This window comes from Homo sapiens, chromosome 16 (genome assembly GCF_000001405.40).
Source record: "Homo sapiens chromosome 16, GRCh38.p14 Primary Assembly".
Taxonomy (NCBI): Eukaryota; Metazoa; Chordata; class Mammalia; order Primates; family Hominidae; genus Homo; species Homo sapiens.
In genome coordinates, this window is record NC_000016.10 from 10,557,577 (window position 1) to 10,575,502 (window position 17,926).

General features: G+C 48.6%; 1 protein-coding gene across 1 annotated transcript in view, besides 1 other annotated feature; it reads right to left on the reverse strand.

Annotated features, from left to right (window-relative positions):
• The window catches only part of EMP2 (epithelial membrane protein 2), a 52,177-nt gene that overhangs the window by 29,155 nt on the left and 5,096 nt on the right, over positions 1 to 17,926 (reverse strand). The window lies entirely within an intron of this gene.
• Positions 6,652 to 6,848: a silencer, noted in NCBI's record as "fragment chr16:10658085-10658281 (GRCh37/hg19 assembly coordinates)". NCBI's record gives its function as "represses an EF-1alpha promoter that drives an FKBP-Casp9 reporter gene in an ReSE screen in K562 erythroleukemia cells {active_cell/tissue: K562}" and the evidence as "EXISTENCE:reporter gene assay evidence [ECO:0000049][PMID:32094911]".

The following is a 17,926-nucleotide window of genomic DNA, read 5'->3' on the forward strand; positions in this document are numbered from 1 at the left end:
CAAAATTAACTTCTAAATGAATCACTTTTTCTGAGTATCCAGAAACTCAGTGAGGTGGATCTCACTGTGTACACTAAATGGCCTGGATGCCCCAACCTTGATTTGATGCATTGTAGATACCATGGTGAGCTGTCTTCAGATTCAAGGCCTGAATACTCCCCATTCTGTGAAATACCCATAAAAATAATCACATAAAATAATATAGAACACAGGAAATTACAACTTCAGACATAAGTTTCTTTTTAAAGGAAAAAGAACCCATAACCAGGGTAGAAGAACAGCAAATGGGTTTTTCAAGCAGCAACAAGAAACCTCCGGGCATCAGAACTGGAGAGAGTGGGGCTGTGGAGGAGGAACAAGAGGGAGGAGAAAGGGGTGAGACACTGGGAACTGTGGGTGGCGTTATGGAAATTCTGCACACAAAGTGGAACATTTGTGGCTCAGTGAGTTTCAAGTTTTTTTTTTTTTTTTTAAACAGGATCTCTCTCTGTTGCCCAGGCTGGAGTGCAGTGGCTCAAACATTGCTCACGGCAACCTCGAACTTTTGGGCTCAAGCGATCCTCCTGCCTCAGCCTCCCCAGTAGCTGGGACTACAGCTGTGCACCACCATGCCCGTCTAATTTTATTTTTTGAAGAAATGGAGTCTTGCTGTGTTGCCCAGGCTGGTCTCAAACTCCTGGCCTCAAGCCATCCTCCCACCTTGGCCTCCCAAAGTGCTGGGATCACAGGCATGAGCCAGGGTGCCCAGCTGGAGTTTCAAGTTCTACAGTTTGACAGGAAGAAGGATAGTGCTCCCAGAAATGTCCATCCTGACCCCAGATAACAAAGAGAATTGACATCTCCTCGCTGTTTCCTAAGTAGAGGTGCCGTCCAGCTATGCCTTAGTCCAATGTTTGCTTAAAGTGTGTGTGTGTGTGTGTGTGTGTGTGTCGCACGTCTAGCTCTGGGTGTGGAGAAACACAAACAACCTTCTGGAGGCTCACTGGCCCTCCCTCTTCCAGAAGCAACATTTGGTTTGCTGTTGCTCGTGGAAAGTCACCATGAGGTTCTCGTGGATAAATAAAAGTCTGTGGGATCTGCCCACGGACAGAGTAAGGGTCCACTGCTGTCCTCTTCTTCATAATAACCACGAATCTCCACCCGTGAGCCCCATCCCCTGCTTGCTGTTGCCAAAGGAAGTCACTTTGGCACATGCTCCTTTACGTGCCAGGGAACAAGAGTCAGAGAGCCCAGCTGGCTTCCCGCGGAGAGAGAACGTGCTGTTAAGATGACCGCTCCGTCCGCCCAACTCCATTCCCGCCCTCGGGAGTTCTTCCTACTATTTAAACCACAGCCGATTCCCAGTCTGAGTTGGAGCCTTTTCCCGGAACTGTAGGCAAGAGGACAATCCCGAGGTGTGGAACCTTTCAATACAGACCTGAGATGTTCGGCGTCTGGAGGTCCGAGGCAATCTCCCAATTCAGAAGTGTTCCACCCACAGCTCCCGCTCCAACGGCCAGGGAGGCTCTGGCCCAGAACCCTGGGGAGGGCCGGGCTGGTGAGCAGTCACCCAGGCCACCCTGCAAGGACTCCCAGGCCTGCTCCGGGGCTGGTGGTTCAACCTCAGGCTGGCCAGAACCCAGGCCCCTCCCACTGCCCAGAGCACTCCGAGGGGACGGTGGCTTTGGCCTCTGTTTTCAGGAAGGCAGAGGTCAGCCCAGCCTCCTGCCCTAGTATCTGGACACCAGCCAGCCAGGAGTATTCAGGCGTCTGAGATGCCATGGGGAAGAAAGAAGCCCATTTACCCTGGGCCGCCCAGCTCCATGCTCACTGTGGCTGGAGCTCTGGGCACAAAGTCAGCATTTGGCTCTCTCCGGAAATGGCAACAGGCGGGACACTGGAATTTGGCAGTGCCCCAGGGCAGAAGCCACTGAGGATCATTCTGTCTGTGCAGCCCTGGGTCTTCCAATCTCTTGGAATAATAACAACCACAATTTCAACAATAATGATAGCCAACATTAGTTGTCTAGTGTGTCCCAGGCACTGTTCCAAGCCCTTTTGCCTGGATTAATTTATTCATTACTCACCAACTCTGATGAAGGTTTTTAAATTAGCCTTGCTTTATTTTTATTTTTTTGAGACAGAGTCTCGCTGTGTTGCCCAGGCTAGAGTGCCATGGTGCGATCTCAGCTCACTGTAACCTCCATCTTCCAGGTTCAAGCAATTCTCCTGCCTCAACCTCCCAAGTAGCTGGGATTACAGGCACCTGCCACCATGCCTGGCTAGTTTTTGTATTTTTAGTAAAGACGGAGTGTCACCATGTTGGCCAGGCTGGTCTTGAACTCCTGACCTCATGTGATCTGCCTGCCTCAGCCTCCCAAAGTCCTGGGATTACAGGCGTGAGCCACCGTGCCCAGCAGCCTTGTTTTACAGGTAAAGAAAATAAGGCCCAGAGAGGTTAGACAACTTCCCCAATGTCACACAGCTAGTAAAAGCTGGAGCTGGCATCTGAACCCAAGCAGCGTGGCACCAGAGAAACCATTATCTAGCCCACTTAAATCTGAATTTCCCTTCCCTTTTGGGGTCCTGTTACTTTAAGAGCTGATCAGGGATCTAGCAAAAGTCCTAGGCTCACACACATAGCTTCAGATGCTGGCCACTGCTAAGTTATTCCTCCAGGTCCCACATCCTGGGAACATGCTTTGCAAAGCACACTGGGGACAACGGAAGCAGAGAACACAGGTCATCCCCGAGTCCTCCAGGCTCACAGCTCTTCCCACCGCCGCACGCAGGGTAGTACCTGTCAGTGAGGGGACAGTCCTGTCAGAAGGACAGGCAAGGACTGTGATCCACTTTGTGGGTGAGAAATCAAAGTTAAGGAGTTTGTTCACATCATCCAATTTGCAGGTGGCAGAGCCAGGGCTCTAATCCCAGGCTTCCGATCACTGTCCCCTTGCCCGTTCTTTAAAAATGAAGCAGTTATTCAGCCAGCATTTATTGAGCACCTGCTATGTACTGGGCATGAGTAAGGCATGCTCTGTGTGCCCTGGGGCTGCCGGGTCCCTAAAGGGCAAGGGTGTGTAAACGGACGGATATGACGTGATGGGAGACACTTGTGGTGTGATTGGCCCTGTGTTGGGGTGGGAGCAGCATCAGAAGCTTCATGGAAGAAGCGACACCTGAGCTGGGTCTCTAAGGATGGGCGGAGTGGTGGGGAGAGGGTGTCACAGGCAAGGAGTTCGGGACGCCCCACAGTGCAGAGTGGCACACTTAGGAGAGCACGTTCCGGGCTGGGCCCCAAGATGGACCAGGACTCTCCACTGACCAAGAAGCTTAAGGGCCTTGGAGACCACACAAAGGAGAGCAAATGTTATCCTGGAGGCCAAGGGGGCTGGGGAAGCTTTGTAAGCAGAAAAGGCATGATCTGCTTCTAGAAGAAAACCATTCCACAGTCAGAAGGATGGAGTAGCAGGAGGCAAACGTGGGGAAGCTATTGGAGCAGCCCTGTTGAGAAATGATGAGGGTCTCAAATGAGTTGGGAACAGAGGGGTGGACAGAAGGGAGGGAGCCAAGAGAGCTTCCAGAAGCAGAAGCAACAGGACTTGATGATGGGCTGGGGAAGAGGGCACATGATTCTAGTGCCGTGATCTGCACTGGGACAGGAAGCAGAAGTAGCATGTTTGAAGGATGAGGGAAACAGTTCATTTGGTTTTAGAAATTGGTGACATGGTAGAAATGCATTCAGGTAGTTGGAAATATAGTCAGGACTGTCACTCAGGAGAAAACGGGCTAGAACCAGGAATCCTGGTGTCATGGGTACACAGGTGGCAGACAAAGCCACTGGTAGATGAGAAATCCTGCTCAGGGAGAAAGCATTAAGGGAGAAGAAAGGATGGAAGAGAGAAGGCCAGGGAAGGAGACGGAGGAGTGGGCACAGAGGTGGGAGGGCAACCAAGAGCACATGATGGGACCCAGAAGCCAGGAGAGAAAAGACTAGAAAAATGGGACAAGGAGGGAGAATTAGCTCATTGGCCGAATTGGCAACCACAGTTTTAGGGAAGTGAACTAAAGCCCTTCATTTTTCTTCCTGCAGCATCTCTCAGGGCCTGATGTTGCCTTGTAGTTGTTTACTTGGATATTACATATCTGCCTGCTACAGTGTCAGGTGCCTGGCATGTTTTTGCAGGACAGTATTCACAGCACTTAGAACACGTCTTCCTTATAGATGGTGCTCAGTGAATATGTGTTGAATGAATGACTAAAGAAGCCAGATTTCAAGGAGCTAAAGGGCTAATAACAAGTGAAAAATGAAGCTAGACTTTTATTTAAAATCTGGCAATAAAAGGAGAAAAAAAAGGGTTTATCCAGGGCCTGGAGTCTCTTCTCATGGAGGAAACTCCAGGCCCAGATGGCTTCATGGGTGAATTCTGCCAAACACTTAAGGAAGAATAATACCAATTCTAAACAAACTGTTCCAGGAAATTGAAGAGAAGGGGACACCCCACCTCATTCTGTGAGGCCAGCATTGCCTTGATTCCAAAACCAGACAAAGACATTACACAAGAAAGGAAAGACAGACCAATATCCCACATGTGCATGAGTGAAAAAAAAATTAAACAAAATTTTAGCAGATCAAATCCTCCCATCAAGAGGTACAATCCAATCTATTTCTCCACCTGCTGATGCCCAGCTGGCCTTGTGATTTTTTTATCAATAAAAGGTGGCAGAAGTGTGACATTGTGCCAATTCTGGGCCAAAGCCTCAAGAAGCCTCATGCATGTTCTCTCTCTCTCTCTCTCTCTCTCTCTCTCTCTCTCTCTCTCTCTATCTATCTCTCTCTCTCTATCTCTATCTCTCTGCCCAGTAACTGTGTGAACAAGCCCAGGCTGGCTTGCTGGAAGATAAGATGCCACTTGGAAGACAGACAAGGTTTACCAGTGAAGGACACCCTAGACCAGCCAGCCCCCAGCTGACCCACTAGCTGACCACAGACACATGAATGAGCCCAGCTGAAATCAGAAAAACCACCCAGCTGAGCTCAGCCCAAATTCCCCATCTATAGAATCATGAACAAAATCAGTGTTTTCTATTTTAAGCCATTACATTCTGGGGTGGTTTGTTACCCAGCAAGAGCTAACTGATACAGTGGAGATACTGCTGTATTAGATTTAGAGTTCCTCAAGTACAGAAACTATGACTCACTGACCTTCCCCAGTGCCCAAGGTTGCTCAGCAAATACTTGTTAAATGTTTGCTAGTTTGTGCAGCTTTCACAGAGCAGCTAATAACTGCCATCCTGCCAATGACTGCTGCCTGACCCTGTCAATTAAAGAGCTCACTGCTGGCTGCTGTCATCCAAGGAGCTCCTATAATTATGCTACCCAGTAAAACCACACTGCAGCCCAGAGAGGGTTAATGATATACCTACAGGCACACAGCATGTCAGCATGAGAGTGAGGTTGATGTGGATTACGTTGCTCGGGGTGAGGCAGGTGTCAAATGCAGGGTGTTCCCCAGCCTCACACCCATTAGTTTAGGAATATTCTTTCCTTCACAGAGCACCTTGTCTTGGTGACTTTCAAGTAATCCCCAGGCCCATCAGTCACTCTTGGTTTAACAGCATTTCCTCTTTATTATTATTATTATTATTATTTTGAGATGGAGTCTCACTCTGTCACCCAGGCTGGAGTGCAGTGGCACGATCTCAGCTCACTGCAACCTCTGTCTCCTGCATTCAAGTGATTCTCCTGCCTCAGTCTCCCAAGTAGCTGGAACTACAGGCATGCACCACCACATCCAGCTAATTTTTGTATTTTCAGTAGAGATGGGGTTTCACCATGTTGGCCAGGCTGTTCTCAAACTCCTGACCTCAAATGATCCACCTGCCTTGGTCTCCCAAAGTGCTGGGATTATAGGCATGATCCACTGCACCCAGCTACTTTTTCCTCTTTCATAAGTGACAAGACCTATCATTTTTATAGATGGATCTTTGCTGGCGAGTTAAAGACTGTACATCACTGTCGACAACTCAGCCAGGCCCAAGGAGTCTCAAGACTAGGAAACCAGGACCCCACCTGGTTAACGTGGAAGTTAACATAGGAAGGGGTCACAGGGTAGAAGATGAGCAGGAAGTAATTTGAGTGAAATGAGGTAAGAGCACAGACTTGAGCCAGACTGACTGGACTGTAGACTAGCAACCACTCAGTGTCCCTATTTCTCCACTCTAAAGTGGGGATGACATTGGTATCCCTACCCCTTGGACTGTTGGGAGATAATGAAGTGAAAGTAGTTAGAACAGCATCTGGCATGTAGCAAATGCTATGAAGTGTTACTGACACAGGGCAGGCGAGCCCCCAAATTGGGGCTTCACCCAGGAGGGTTCTTGGCTTCACCCAGGAAAGAATTCAAGGGTGAACCAGTGGTGTTAGCAACTTTTCTTGAAGTGGCAATGTACAACAGCAGCAGAGGGACTGCTCCTTGGGGAGCAGGGCTACCCCATAGGCAGTATGCCTGGAGGTAGTTCACCACTTTTAAGTATATGCAAATTAGGGAGTGGGTTATGCATAAATTTCTAGGAAAAGTGAGGCATCAGGCAGTTGCCATGGAAAGGTGCAGTCACTTCTGTGTGGACATGTCTTATGGAAAGGTAATTCTGGCCAGGCACAGTGGCTCACGCCTGTAATCCCAACATTTTGGTAGGTCGAGGTGGGTGGATCACCTGAGGTCAGAAGTTCAAGACCAGCCTGGCCAACATGGTGAAACCCTGTCTCTGCTAAAAATATAAAAATTAGCTGGGTGTGGTGGCAGGCACCTGTAATCCCAGCTACTTGGGAGGCTGAGGCAGGAGAATTGCTTGAACCTGGGAGGTGGAGGTTGCAGTGAGCTGAGATTGCGCCACTGCACTCCAGCCTCAGCGACAGAGTGAGACTCTGTCTCAAAAAAAAAAAAAAAAAAAAAGGTAATTCTGCCCTGTCCCTATTTTAGCTAGTTTGGTGGTCTGATATGTGGGCCCTACCTCCCAGTCCCACCTCCTACCTCATTATCAATCATCACCAGCATCGTAGTCAAGGAATCTGTCATAGAATAGATACCCCCAGGCCTTTTTCTTCCCCAGAAAGCCAGTGTTCTCTCCTCCCATCCACCACCACCATTCTCAGAAAGGAAGCCACCAAATGGAAATAAACCACCAGGGCAGCCTCCAGGAGGGAAGGAAATGCAAACAGGCAGCTCGGGGCATGTGGACAAGTAGGAGACATTTCAGGCACTGTCCCAGCAACGCTTATGTCGACATTTCCCCAAATCTGCCATTCCTGTTTAGCTTACTCACTTTTTAAACTTATATTTTTATAAAAGGCAACCTTATATCGCAAATGAGATGGAAAGTCAGCATCACCTGCCATAAATAGAAGGTGCTGGAAAAAATAAACACAATGAAAACAAAACATTGTTATTAAATTCCAGCTCCAAGCTCTTGCTGCTCAAAAGCTCCAAGTCCAAGACTGGGTTTCTATTTCTTTGCTAAAACAGGATGTCACTCATGTTTGGGAAGTTTTAAAGTCATATTCGCACAAAACTGAGATTTCCTCTTTGAAGAGGTGAAAGAGAATTTAAAAGGGAGTGATTTGAAAAGGATTCTATGTTACTTAATGCTATGTGTCTGGTCCAACGAAAGCATCTCAGATAGTTCACTTAATGCGTCAACTTGTCTGGGTCACAATGTTTCTGTGAAGGTGCTTTGGGATGAGATTCACATTTGAATCAGTGGACTCTGAGTCAAGCAGATTGCCCTCCCTAACGGGCTATGCCTCATCCAATCAGTTGAAGGCCTGGTAGAACAAAAGGCTGACTTCCTCGGAACAAGAAGGAATTCTGCCAGCAAATGACCTTCAGACTTGAACTACATCATCAGCTCATCCATGGGTCTCCAAGCCTGCTGGCCCGCCCTGCAGATTTTGAACTTGCCAGCCTCCATAATCCCATGAGCAAATTCCCTAAAACAAACTCTCTCTCTAAATATATATGCACCCCTTTGGTTTCTCTGCAGAACCCTAATATAGCATCACTCTCTCAGGGTACCCAGCCCATATGGACTCACCAACCTGAGAGCTGGAAGGTTGAGCCCCTTAACCAGGGACTTGAGGTGGGGAGGGATCCAACAGGAAGTGGTATCACCATGAAAAATTTAGCACTAGGGCAGATGCTGAGCCAGCACCATGGGAACCCATTCCGATGCACTTGGAATCCCACAGTAACATTTCCCTACTAGCATGCCTAGGGGGCTATGAGGTGGCCATGCTGGAAAGAAAGACAATCTCCCAACCCCTTGCCTGTCCCACTGGAGTGCTTCTGATGATATTGCATCTGCTCAATGACATTGTGCGGCTGTGCAACTGGGAAACTGACTCAACACAAAGAGAATCACGCACTCATGCAGTCTCAGCTGAAAGGCGCTGGTGTGACCATGAGAACACACCACCCCCAGCCTCTGCCTGGATTATTTTTCTAGCATCCAGTTTCCATCTGAACATGCCCCGGGACTGGGGACCTCACCATTGCCAAGACCACATCTGATTACCGGACCCTAAGCTTCAGAACAAGGGTTCCCAAACTTCAGTCATTTGTCTACCACCTTCTCGAGTACAGCTGAAAGATTTTCCTTCATAATTGTCCTTAACCCACTTTCTAACATAAATAAATGTATTTTAAAAAGAAATCTTTTGGATCCCTGGGAATGGAAAATCAGCATCATTTGCCATAAATAGAAATTAATTGTGAAAACAAATACCCCCTGCCCCTAAAGTTCACAAATTCTGGTTCAAGGCTGTTGCCTGCCATAGGAACTAAGCTGCAGACCTGCTCTAAGTTAAAGAGGGGAAACTAGAGTTAAAGAGGCACTAAACACCTTAGCCTCAGCTAAGACTCCCCCCTTGATGAAATCAGAAGAACTGAAAGAGAACTGAAAAGGGAATCGCTTTCCCACCAGTGATTTAATGTCATGTGATGACAGAGCTATCTAAAATCACCCCAGCATCATGAATCCCACTGTGCAGAAAACAGCATTAAACAGGGATCTCTCTTCCACTGATTCCAGTTCTGTCTTCAGTGGTCTCCAACCACGAAGTCAGTTCTCCACTTCTCTGAATGCCCCAAGAGGTGGGGCGTGTGTGTCACCATTTTCACAGGTGACTACCTGTCCATCAGTGTGTTCGCTGAGTACACAGAGCATGCGAGGCTCTTTGCAGGCACTGTGGGAGGACAGAAAGACATGGACCACAAGGTGGCGGCCCTCACAGAGAGCTAAAAAAAAACTGTCAGGTTGGTTTCATGCCTCAAACCAGTGCCCCTTCTTTGTCCCCAACAAACCAAGCTCACCTCCCACCCCTCAGAGTAGTGGACCTTTGCATGTGCGTATCCCTCTTTCTGGAATGTTCTTAGATCTTGGTGTAATTGACTTCTTCTCTTCATTCAGCCCCAACTCCTAAGTCAGCAGAGAAGCCTCCCCAACTTTTCTAGTCTACGTGATCTGCCTGCCTTCAGCTCTTGAAGCACTAAACATTATCTGCCATTTTCTTATGTATCGCTGTGCACTTCTTTTTTCTGTCTTGCTGTCTGGAATGGAAGCTCCCAGCGGGCAGGGATTTATGTCGGTCTCATCACTGCTCTGTCCCCGTGCCCAGCACAGTGCCTGGTCCACAGCAGATATTAAGTCATTATCAGTGGAGTGAGGGATGCTGTTTTCAAGAGTGTTTTCCTCCCCACTCCAGGTCTCGCCAAGAAGCCTCAAGCCTTGAGATGACAATATAGCATTCTCTTCCCCTTGGCAGCCCCATGGCCTCCAGCTCTCTGACTCCTCTGAGGGCAGGGAGCATGAATAATTCCATGGCTCATGATCTGCTTGCAAACTGTGGTAAAAACACAATGAGGATGCTTGGGGCAGGGGGAGCAGGGGCTTAGACCAGGCTCTGGAACACACCAAGGTGGGTGAGCCAGGCATTCGTTCCACAGCCCAGGGAGGGCCAGGAAGCTCAAGGTAAGGCCAGGTGTGGAGGGTCAAGTCCAAGGTGGGGCTTTAGCAGGATGGGACACTGGTTCTCTAGGAGCCCTAAGACCCCCTGAGGAAAAGGCAAAGTGGAGAGACTCGGGTTTCCCCAAAGAGGACTGCCAGGGCCGTAACACCCTCATACAGCAAACCAAAGCTCTCCTTGATTCACATCCTCCCAGGGTTGTACATGGACTCCCGCTGTGAGCAGCATGAAATACCACTAAAGCAAGGGGGAAATGGAAGAATTGAGGCATTGGAGATAGTCTCCACCAGAATATTGTCTGCTTGGGTTCACTGCAATCCCCATTTTATAGATGAGAAAACGGAGGGGTAGCGAGGTTAGGTAGCTTGTCAAAGGTCACACCCCCAGTAAGTGGCAGAGCTGGGAGTGGAACACTCATACCCTTCACCACCGTCTTGCCTCAGGAAGCCCAGAGCTATAGAATAAAGGAAGACAGACACAGAAAACACAGCAAAGGCTTAGCCATGATCAATTTACAGCAATACCAGGGCTGCAGAAAAATCAGGCTGCAGGAAGTAGAAGGGCACACCATTGGGGCTTTACTCTAAACCAATTAAATCAGAACCTCTGGGGACAGCCCCCACCAATAGGTGCTAAAAGATGCCCAGTGATTCCAATAAACAGCAAGGTTTGCAAACCACTTCCCTTGGTCCTTAAATGAAAACATTCAAAGCACCAGCTGCCTCACGTTCCTGGTGAATTGAGGTCAAGTATAGCATATACACCAATATATGTATTTTATATATGTATATATTTATGTATTATTATATATTTACATGTGTATTCACAGGTGCCTCTCAGATTGCTTGGTTCCAGAGAGAGAACTAAATGCTTTTTTCACGATGCCTCCTGGGAAAAAGAACAGACTTATTTTCCCAACACCAAGACCCTGCTGCTAGAGTGGCAAATCCTGTCCCACTAACACACCAGTGATTGAAGAAAAGTCGTTGGTACATCTTTATCTTTTGTTTCCTCCAACTGGCCCTGCCAGGGTGTCACAGGGTAACCTGGGGCAAGTGGCACCTGCTCACTGGGCCCACAGTTCCTCCGACAGAGACCAAGAGGACGGTCGGATTAAAGCTGCATTCCCTGAGCATCACTGCCTTAGGTCCAGTTACCTAGAAGCAAAGGGAGGGGTGTGGATTCTTGTGCTAGGATTTTCTTTTTTTTTTTTTTTTTTTTTTTGAGATGGAATTTCACTCGTGTCACCCAAGCTGGAGTACAGTGGCGCAATGTCGGCTCACTGCAACCTCTGCCTCCCGGGTTCAAGCAATTCTTCTGCCTCAGCCTCCTGAGTAGCTGGGATTACATGCGCCTGCCACCACGCCAGGCTAATTTTTTGTATTTTTAGTAGAGATGGGGTTTCGCCATGTTGGCCAGGCTGGTCTAGAACTCCTGACCTCAGGTGATCCACCCACCTTGGCCTCCCAAAGGGTTGGGATTACAGGCGTGAGCCACCGCGCCCAGCTGTGCTAGGAATTTTCTAAGGTATACTCTTGGGTGAAACCAAGAAGAAATTCATTCGAAGCCTGCACTCATGACAGCTGGAGGTGATGAGTACATGATCCAGCAAATGGGACCTGGGTAGGCCCTCAGTGTCAATCACACCACTGTGATCATTTCTGTGGGTGCACCACCTGTTCTACTCACTATTCAACAGTTTTCCTTAAAACACATTAAGCTTAAATTGATTCATTTTTAAAATATTTATTCTGTTTTGTTTTTTGTTTTTAAAACAGGGTCTCGCTCTGCTGCCCAGGCTGGAATGCAGTGGCATGATCACAGCTTGCTGCAGCCTTGACCTCCTGGGCTCAGGTGATCCTTTTGCCTCAGCCTCCTACAGGTGCATGCCACCATACCTGGGTAATTTTTTTATTTTTTGTACAGATGGGGGTCTCCCTATGTTCCTTGAACTAGTCTTGAACTCCTGGGCTCAAGTGATCCTCTCACCTCAACCTCCCAAAGTGCTGAGTTTACAGGCATGAGCCACCACACCCAGCCCGATTCATTTTTAAACATGCATTACGCTGTAAATGGAAAATCAGCATCACTTGCCAAGGGACATTTAAGTAATACACTGAAATGAACACGAGCATAATACAGTCTTTAACATCGCCTGTATGCTACAGGAGTCATTTCCAAATGCCTGCGTGCATGCAGACCCCACTCTGGGTGTGTCGATGATTAAGCCTCTCTCAGGCTCTGGTCTGGGAAGAATGTGACCCCATGTCACACTGGTATAAACGGATGCTGATCATGCCACTCGGGCCTGATGTGGCTCCAGACAGAGCCAACTGCAGGAGGGAGAGGGAGCAGCCGCCCTGACCCTAGTGACTTCTCAGGGCTTCCAAACCCCCTGCCCTTGCAGCCTCCCCTTCAATGCTCACCCAAGCCTCCCTTCTCCCACTCCTCCCCTGGGTCTGCTGAGACACTGGGGATACATCGCGATGGTTACCGGGGTGCCCTGGTGAACTATCAGATAGGAAGCGATGGTCCCTGTGCCTGCCAGCTCTTGCTGGGCTTAAACAAATACCATCAGAACTAATGGCAGAGGAGAAAACCTGACTTAACTTAGGGCTAGAAAGTGTCCCTGAAAAAATGGTGGCTTTTTTTTTTTTTTTTTTAAAGACAGAGTCTCACTCTGTCACCCAGGCTGGAGTGCAGTGGTGCAATCACAGCTCACTGTAGCCTTGAATTCCTAGCCTCAAGCAATCCTCCCACCTTAGCCTCTGGAGTACCTAGGACGACAGGTGCACACCACCACACCCAGCTAATGTTTATTTTATTTTATTTTTTGAGACAGAGTCTTGCCCCGTCACCCAGAGCTTGAATGCAGTGGCGTGATCTCAACTCACCGTCACGTCTGCCTCTTGAATTCAAGCAATTCTCCTGCCTCAGCCTCCCAAGTAGCTGGGACTACAGGCATGTGCCACCACACCTGGCTAATTTTTGTATTTTTAGTAGAAACAGGGTTTCTTTACATTGGCCAGGCTGGTCTCGAACTCCTAACTTCAAGTGATCCACCCACCTCGGCCTCCCAAAGTGCTGGGATTACAGGCATGAGCTACCACATCTGGCTGGCTAATTTTTATTTTATTTTTTTGTAGAGATGGGGTCTCACTATGTTGCCCAGGCTGGTCTCAAACTCCTGGCCTGAAGCGATCCTCCTGCCTCGGCCTTCCAAAGTGCTGGGATTATAGGCATGAGCCACCATGCCTGGCCTGGTATGAGTCTTAAAGGTCTTAAAGGATAAAGAATTAGCTGGACAGAAAGAGGAAGGCAATGTGGAAGAAGAAGAAGGGCGAGGGAAAGAGCAGGTAGAAGCAGTGGTGAGAGAGGATTAAGAGTTGCAGGAACTGGCAGGGGCCGGTGGCTCATGCCTGTAATCCCAGCACTTTGGGAGGCTGAGGCGGGTGGATCATGAGGTCAAGAGATAGAAACCAGCCTGGCCAACACGGTGAAACCCTGCCTCTACTAAAAATACAAAAATTAGCTGGGCGTGGTGGTGTGCACCTGTAGTCCCAGCTACTTTGGAGGCTTAGGCAGGAGAATCGCTTGAACCAGGGAGTCGGCGGCTGCAGTGAGCTGAGATCGCGCCACTGCACTCCAGCCTGGTGACAGAGCAAGACTCCGTCTCAAAAAAAAAAAAAAAAAAAAAAAAAAAAGAGTTGCAGGAACTAAGAAAAAAGAGTGGGCTAGAGGAGAAAGCAACAGGGGAGAGTGATGAGTCCAGAGAAGGGGTTAGACCAGTACGTCTCACCACCAACCACACTGGGGGCACCTTAAACCCCTGTGCCCTGGCCCCTGCCTCCAGAGATTCTGATATCATTACTTTCAGGTGGGGACAGGAAATCAGCATTCTATCCAGATTCCCCAGGAGATTCGGAAGGTCAGTCAGCCAAGGACCTCTGAGTCAGATCATGTAAGGCCTGGTTTTTGCTTAGGAGCAGTTGAAACTACTGAAGAATTTTAAGTGGGGCAGGGGAAGAGTGACTTGGTCAGCTTTGTGTCTCTATCAGATCCTTCTGGATACGTATGGGAAACGGACTGCAAGGCCATAGTGGCTGCAGGGATACAGGTCATGGAGCTTGTGCAATTGTCAAGGCAAAAGATGGCAGCGGTCTGGACCAAGATAGAAGCCACTGAGATGAAGAGAGGGGATGGATTCCAGAAGGACTGAAGGTTTGCATGAAGAGACAGAGGACTGCTCCAGGCTTCCACTGTAAGCCAGTGATGGGCGGTAGTGGTGTATACTGAGAGGCCACCACTGTTGGCTCAAACACCAGCCTGGTCCACTGCTGTCAGCCTCTCCTGGGCTCTAGGCCCTGGGCTTTAGGGCTCATGACCATCCATCTGAATTTCAAGGCACTTTCCACATTAATAAGAGAGAGGACTCAAGGCTCCCTGGCCACATTTTACTCAAAACATCATATCACCTGATGATCTAAATATATTCAAAAAAGTCAATGAGGGAGCAGGAGAAAGAGGGAATTTTTCATTTTTCTTCTGTACCCTAGACAGACAAGGGCAAAGACCCTTAAAAGATTTAGGTTGCAGCTGGGCACAGTGGTTCATGCCTGTAATCCCAGCACTTTGGGAGGCTGAGGAGGGAGGATCACTTGAGGCCAGGAATTCGAGAGCTGCCTGGGTGACAAAGCAAGACCCCAGTCTCTACAAAAAATTTAAAAATTAGCTGGGTGCACCTGTGGTCCCAGCTACTCAGGAGGCTGAGGACAGAGGATCACTTGAGCCCAGGTGTTCGCGGCTGCCGTGAGCTGTGACTGCACCACTACACTCCAGCCTGGGTGACCCAGCGAGATCCTGTCTCAAAAAAAAAAAAGATTTAGGTTTCTCTTGACCCTCCCACAGATGATCTTCCATCCACTGCTAGATAAATTCCATTACAGGGGCCGAGTCCATCTTTGTTCACTACCCGGCACATAGTAAGCGGCCAATAAATATTAGAATGAACACGTGAGGAATAAATCAGGATAGATGACCTGTCACAGAACTCCCAAGTTCAGGTATTAAGGATTATCTCCAGAATAAATGTCACAGCCTGGGAGTTAGTTTCCAAATAGCACCTCCTCGACCCTCCACATGTCTGTACACAGCCCACCTGTAGCACCCCGCAATCCAATTCTCTGATCCCACTGGCATCTGCCTACTGTCTTCAGAATGCACCTGTCACCCCTCAGCAGACACCATGTTATTCATGCCACAGTTACTAAGCACTCATTCTGGGACGGATGAGGACCTCAAGGCTGGAAAACTGTGATGAGTTAGAGAAGCTCCCATCCCCATTCCAAAGACAAATGTCCACTATAAGACAACTGGGACCCCAAAGCATCTCCTCCATCAGTTCTATGAGAGAAACAGAACCCTCACTTCACAGTGAAAGGGAGTGGTCAGCATGGGTTTATTTTGGCTTTTTTTGTTTTTATTTTAAGAGATGGGGTCTTGCTCTGTCACCCAGGCTAGGGTGCAGTGGCACAATCTCAGCTCACTGCAGCCTCAAACTCCTGGACTCAAGCGATCCTCCCACCTCAGCCTTCAGAGCAGCTGGGGCTACAGGTGTGTGTCACCATGCCTGGCTAATTTTGCTATTTTTTTGTAGAGACAGGGTCTCATTATGTTGCCCAGGCTGGTCTCAAAACTCCTGTGCTCAAGCAATCCTCCTGCCTAACCCTCCCAAAATTCTAAAATTACAGGCCTGAGCCACCACACCTGGCCACGGTTAACCCCCATGAACAGCATCCAGACTGGAAACACATTATGTTCATTGGCATCTGCAATGTGATGTTCCAAGGGGGATGCTCCATGTGGACTGGATGACACCTGCTCACACTGGTCATCATTTCCTTGTCTCTGGATTTTCAAAACAGTCCCTAACTGGTCCATCCATGGAGTCTCTGACCCCCCACAGCCAAAGGCATCATCTCTCCCCATCCTCACACCTGCACAACCTCCATTGCTTACCAAGCTCAGGGAAAATGAGGGCATTATTATTGAAGTCAGTAATTCCTGAAGATACTCTCTTGGTTACAGATAAGGCTTGAGATAAGATTGTATCCTTTCAATCCAGTTCCTTCCCTACCACCCCATCAGAGACAACCACATGGACCTACTCCGATGTCTCCTTCCAGACATTGTTCCTCGTATAAACATGTGAGGCCACAGAAAATACAACAAGAATTTCTGTTTATGTTTATATGAATAATACACTTTTCCACATATACTTCTCCTGGTTGTTCTTTTTTTAAACTCAGTAATGCCATAAAGCTCTTTCCATATGGGTACAATGGATAAACCTTTTTTTTTTTTTTTTTTTTTTTTTGAGACAGAGTCTTGCTCTGTCACCCAGGCTGGAGTGCAGTGGCATGATCTCGGCTCACTGCCACCCCCATCTCCTGGGTTCAAGCGATTCTTGTGCCTCAGCCTCCCAAGTAGCTGGGATTACAGGTGCACACCACCAAGCCCAACTAATTTTTGTATTTTTGGTAGAGATGGGGTTTCACTATATTGGCCAGGCTGATCTTGAACTCCTGAACTCAAGTGATCTGCCTGCCTTGGCCTCCCAAAGTGCTGGGATTAGAGGCGTGAGCTACTGCGCCCGGCCCCTTGTTCTTTTTAACTGCAGTAAAATACTCTGCAAAATGGCTGATGGATATTTAGGTTGCTTCCACTTTTCCTTTTCTCTATTTCTCACCTATCATTGGATATTCTATTCCAATAATGCTCCGTGAGCATCCTCACGCCTGCCTCCTTAGCCAGGTTCTTGGGGATGTGGAAGGGAAGCCCACTTCACACTGTGGCCCCCCCTCATCCCTCCCTGCTCCATCTCCCTCCCTTCATACACTCAGCACTGAAGACAAACCATGCACCCACTGCTCCTCCAGCAGGGTCCCTGCTCGCAATCTCTGCCTTTTCTTTTTAAAAATTATACATTTTTTTTTTTGAGATGGAGTCTCGCTCTGTCACCCAGGCTGCAGTGCAATGGCACAATCTCGGCTCACTGCAAGCTCTGGGTTCACACCATTCTCCTGCCTCAGCCTCCCAAGTAGCTGGGACTACAGGTGTGTGCCACCATGCCGGCTAATTTTTTGTATTTTTAGTAGAGACAGGGTTTCACCATGTTAGCCAGGATGGTCTCGATCTCCTGACCTCACCATCCACCCACCTCAGCCTCCCAAAGTGCTGGGATTATAGGCGTGAGCCACCGTGCCCGGCCCATATATGTATTTCTCTTAATTTAAGAGATGGGTTTCACTCTGTCTCCCAGGCTGGAGTACGTGGAACAATCATAGCTCACTGCATCCTCAAAGTGGCAGCAGACTTGAAGTGGCAGCCTCGAAGCCCTGGGCTCAAGCAATCCTCCCGCCTCAGCCTCCTGAGTAGCTGGGAATACAGGTATGTGCCACCACATCCAGCTAACCTCTGCCTACTCTCTCACTGTTCCTTGTTGCCTGAACTTTCTGAAACCATCACTGCTTGGGGAATTTGAAATATCCTCCCAAGCCCATCTCCAACACTACAGGCTTAAGGAAACCTTTGCACACCACATATGGTGGGCTTCCCTGAAACCACATCTGGTGGCCTTGGTCCTGGAGCTTGCATTCTTTTTTTTTTTTTTTTTTTTTTTTTTTTTTTTTTGAGACAGAGTCTCGCTCCGTCGCCCAGGCTGGAGTGCAGTGGCGTGATCTTGGCTCACTGCAAGCTCCGCCTCCCGGGTTCACGCCATTTTCCTGCCTCAGCCTCCCAAGTAGCTGGGACTACAGGCGCCCGCCACCACACCGGGCTAATTTTTTTGTAATTTTAGTAGAGACAGGGCTTCATTGTGTTAGCCAGGATGGTCTCGATCTCCTGACCTCGTGATCCACCTAC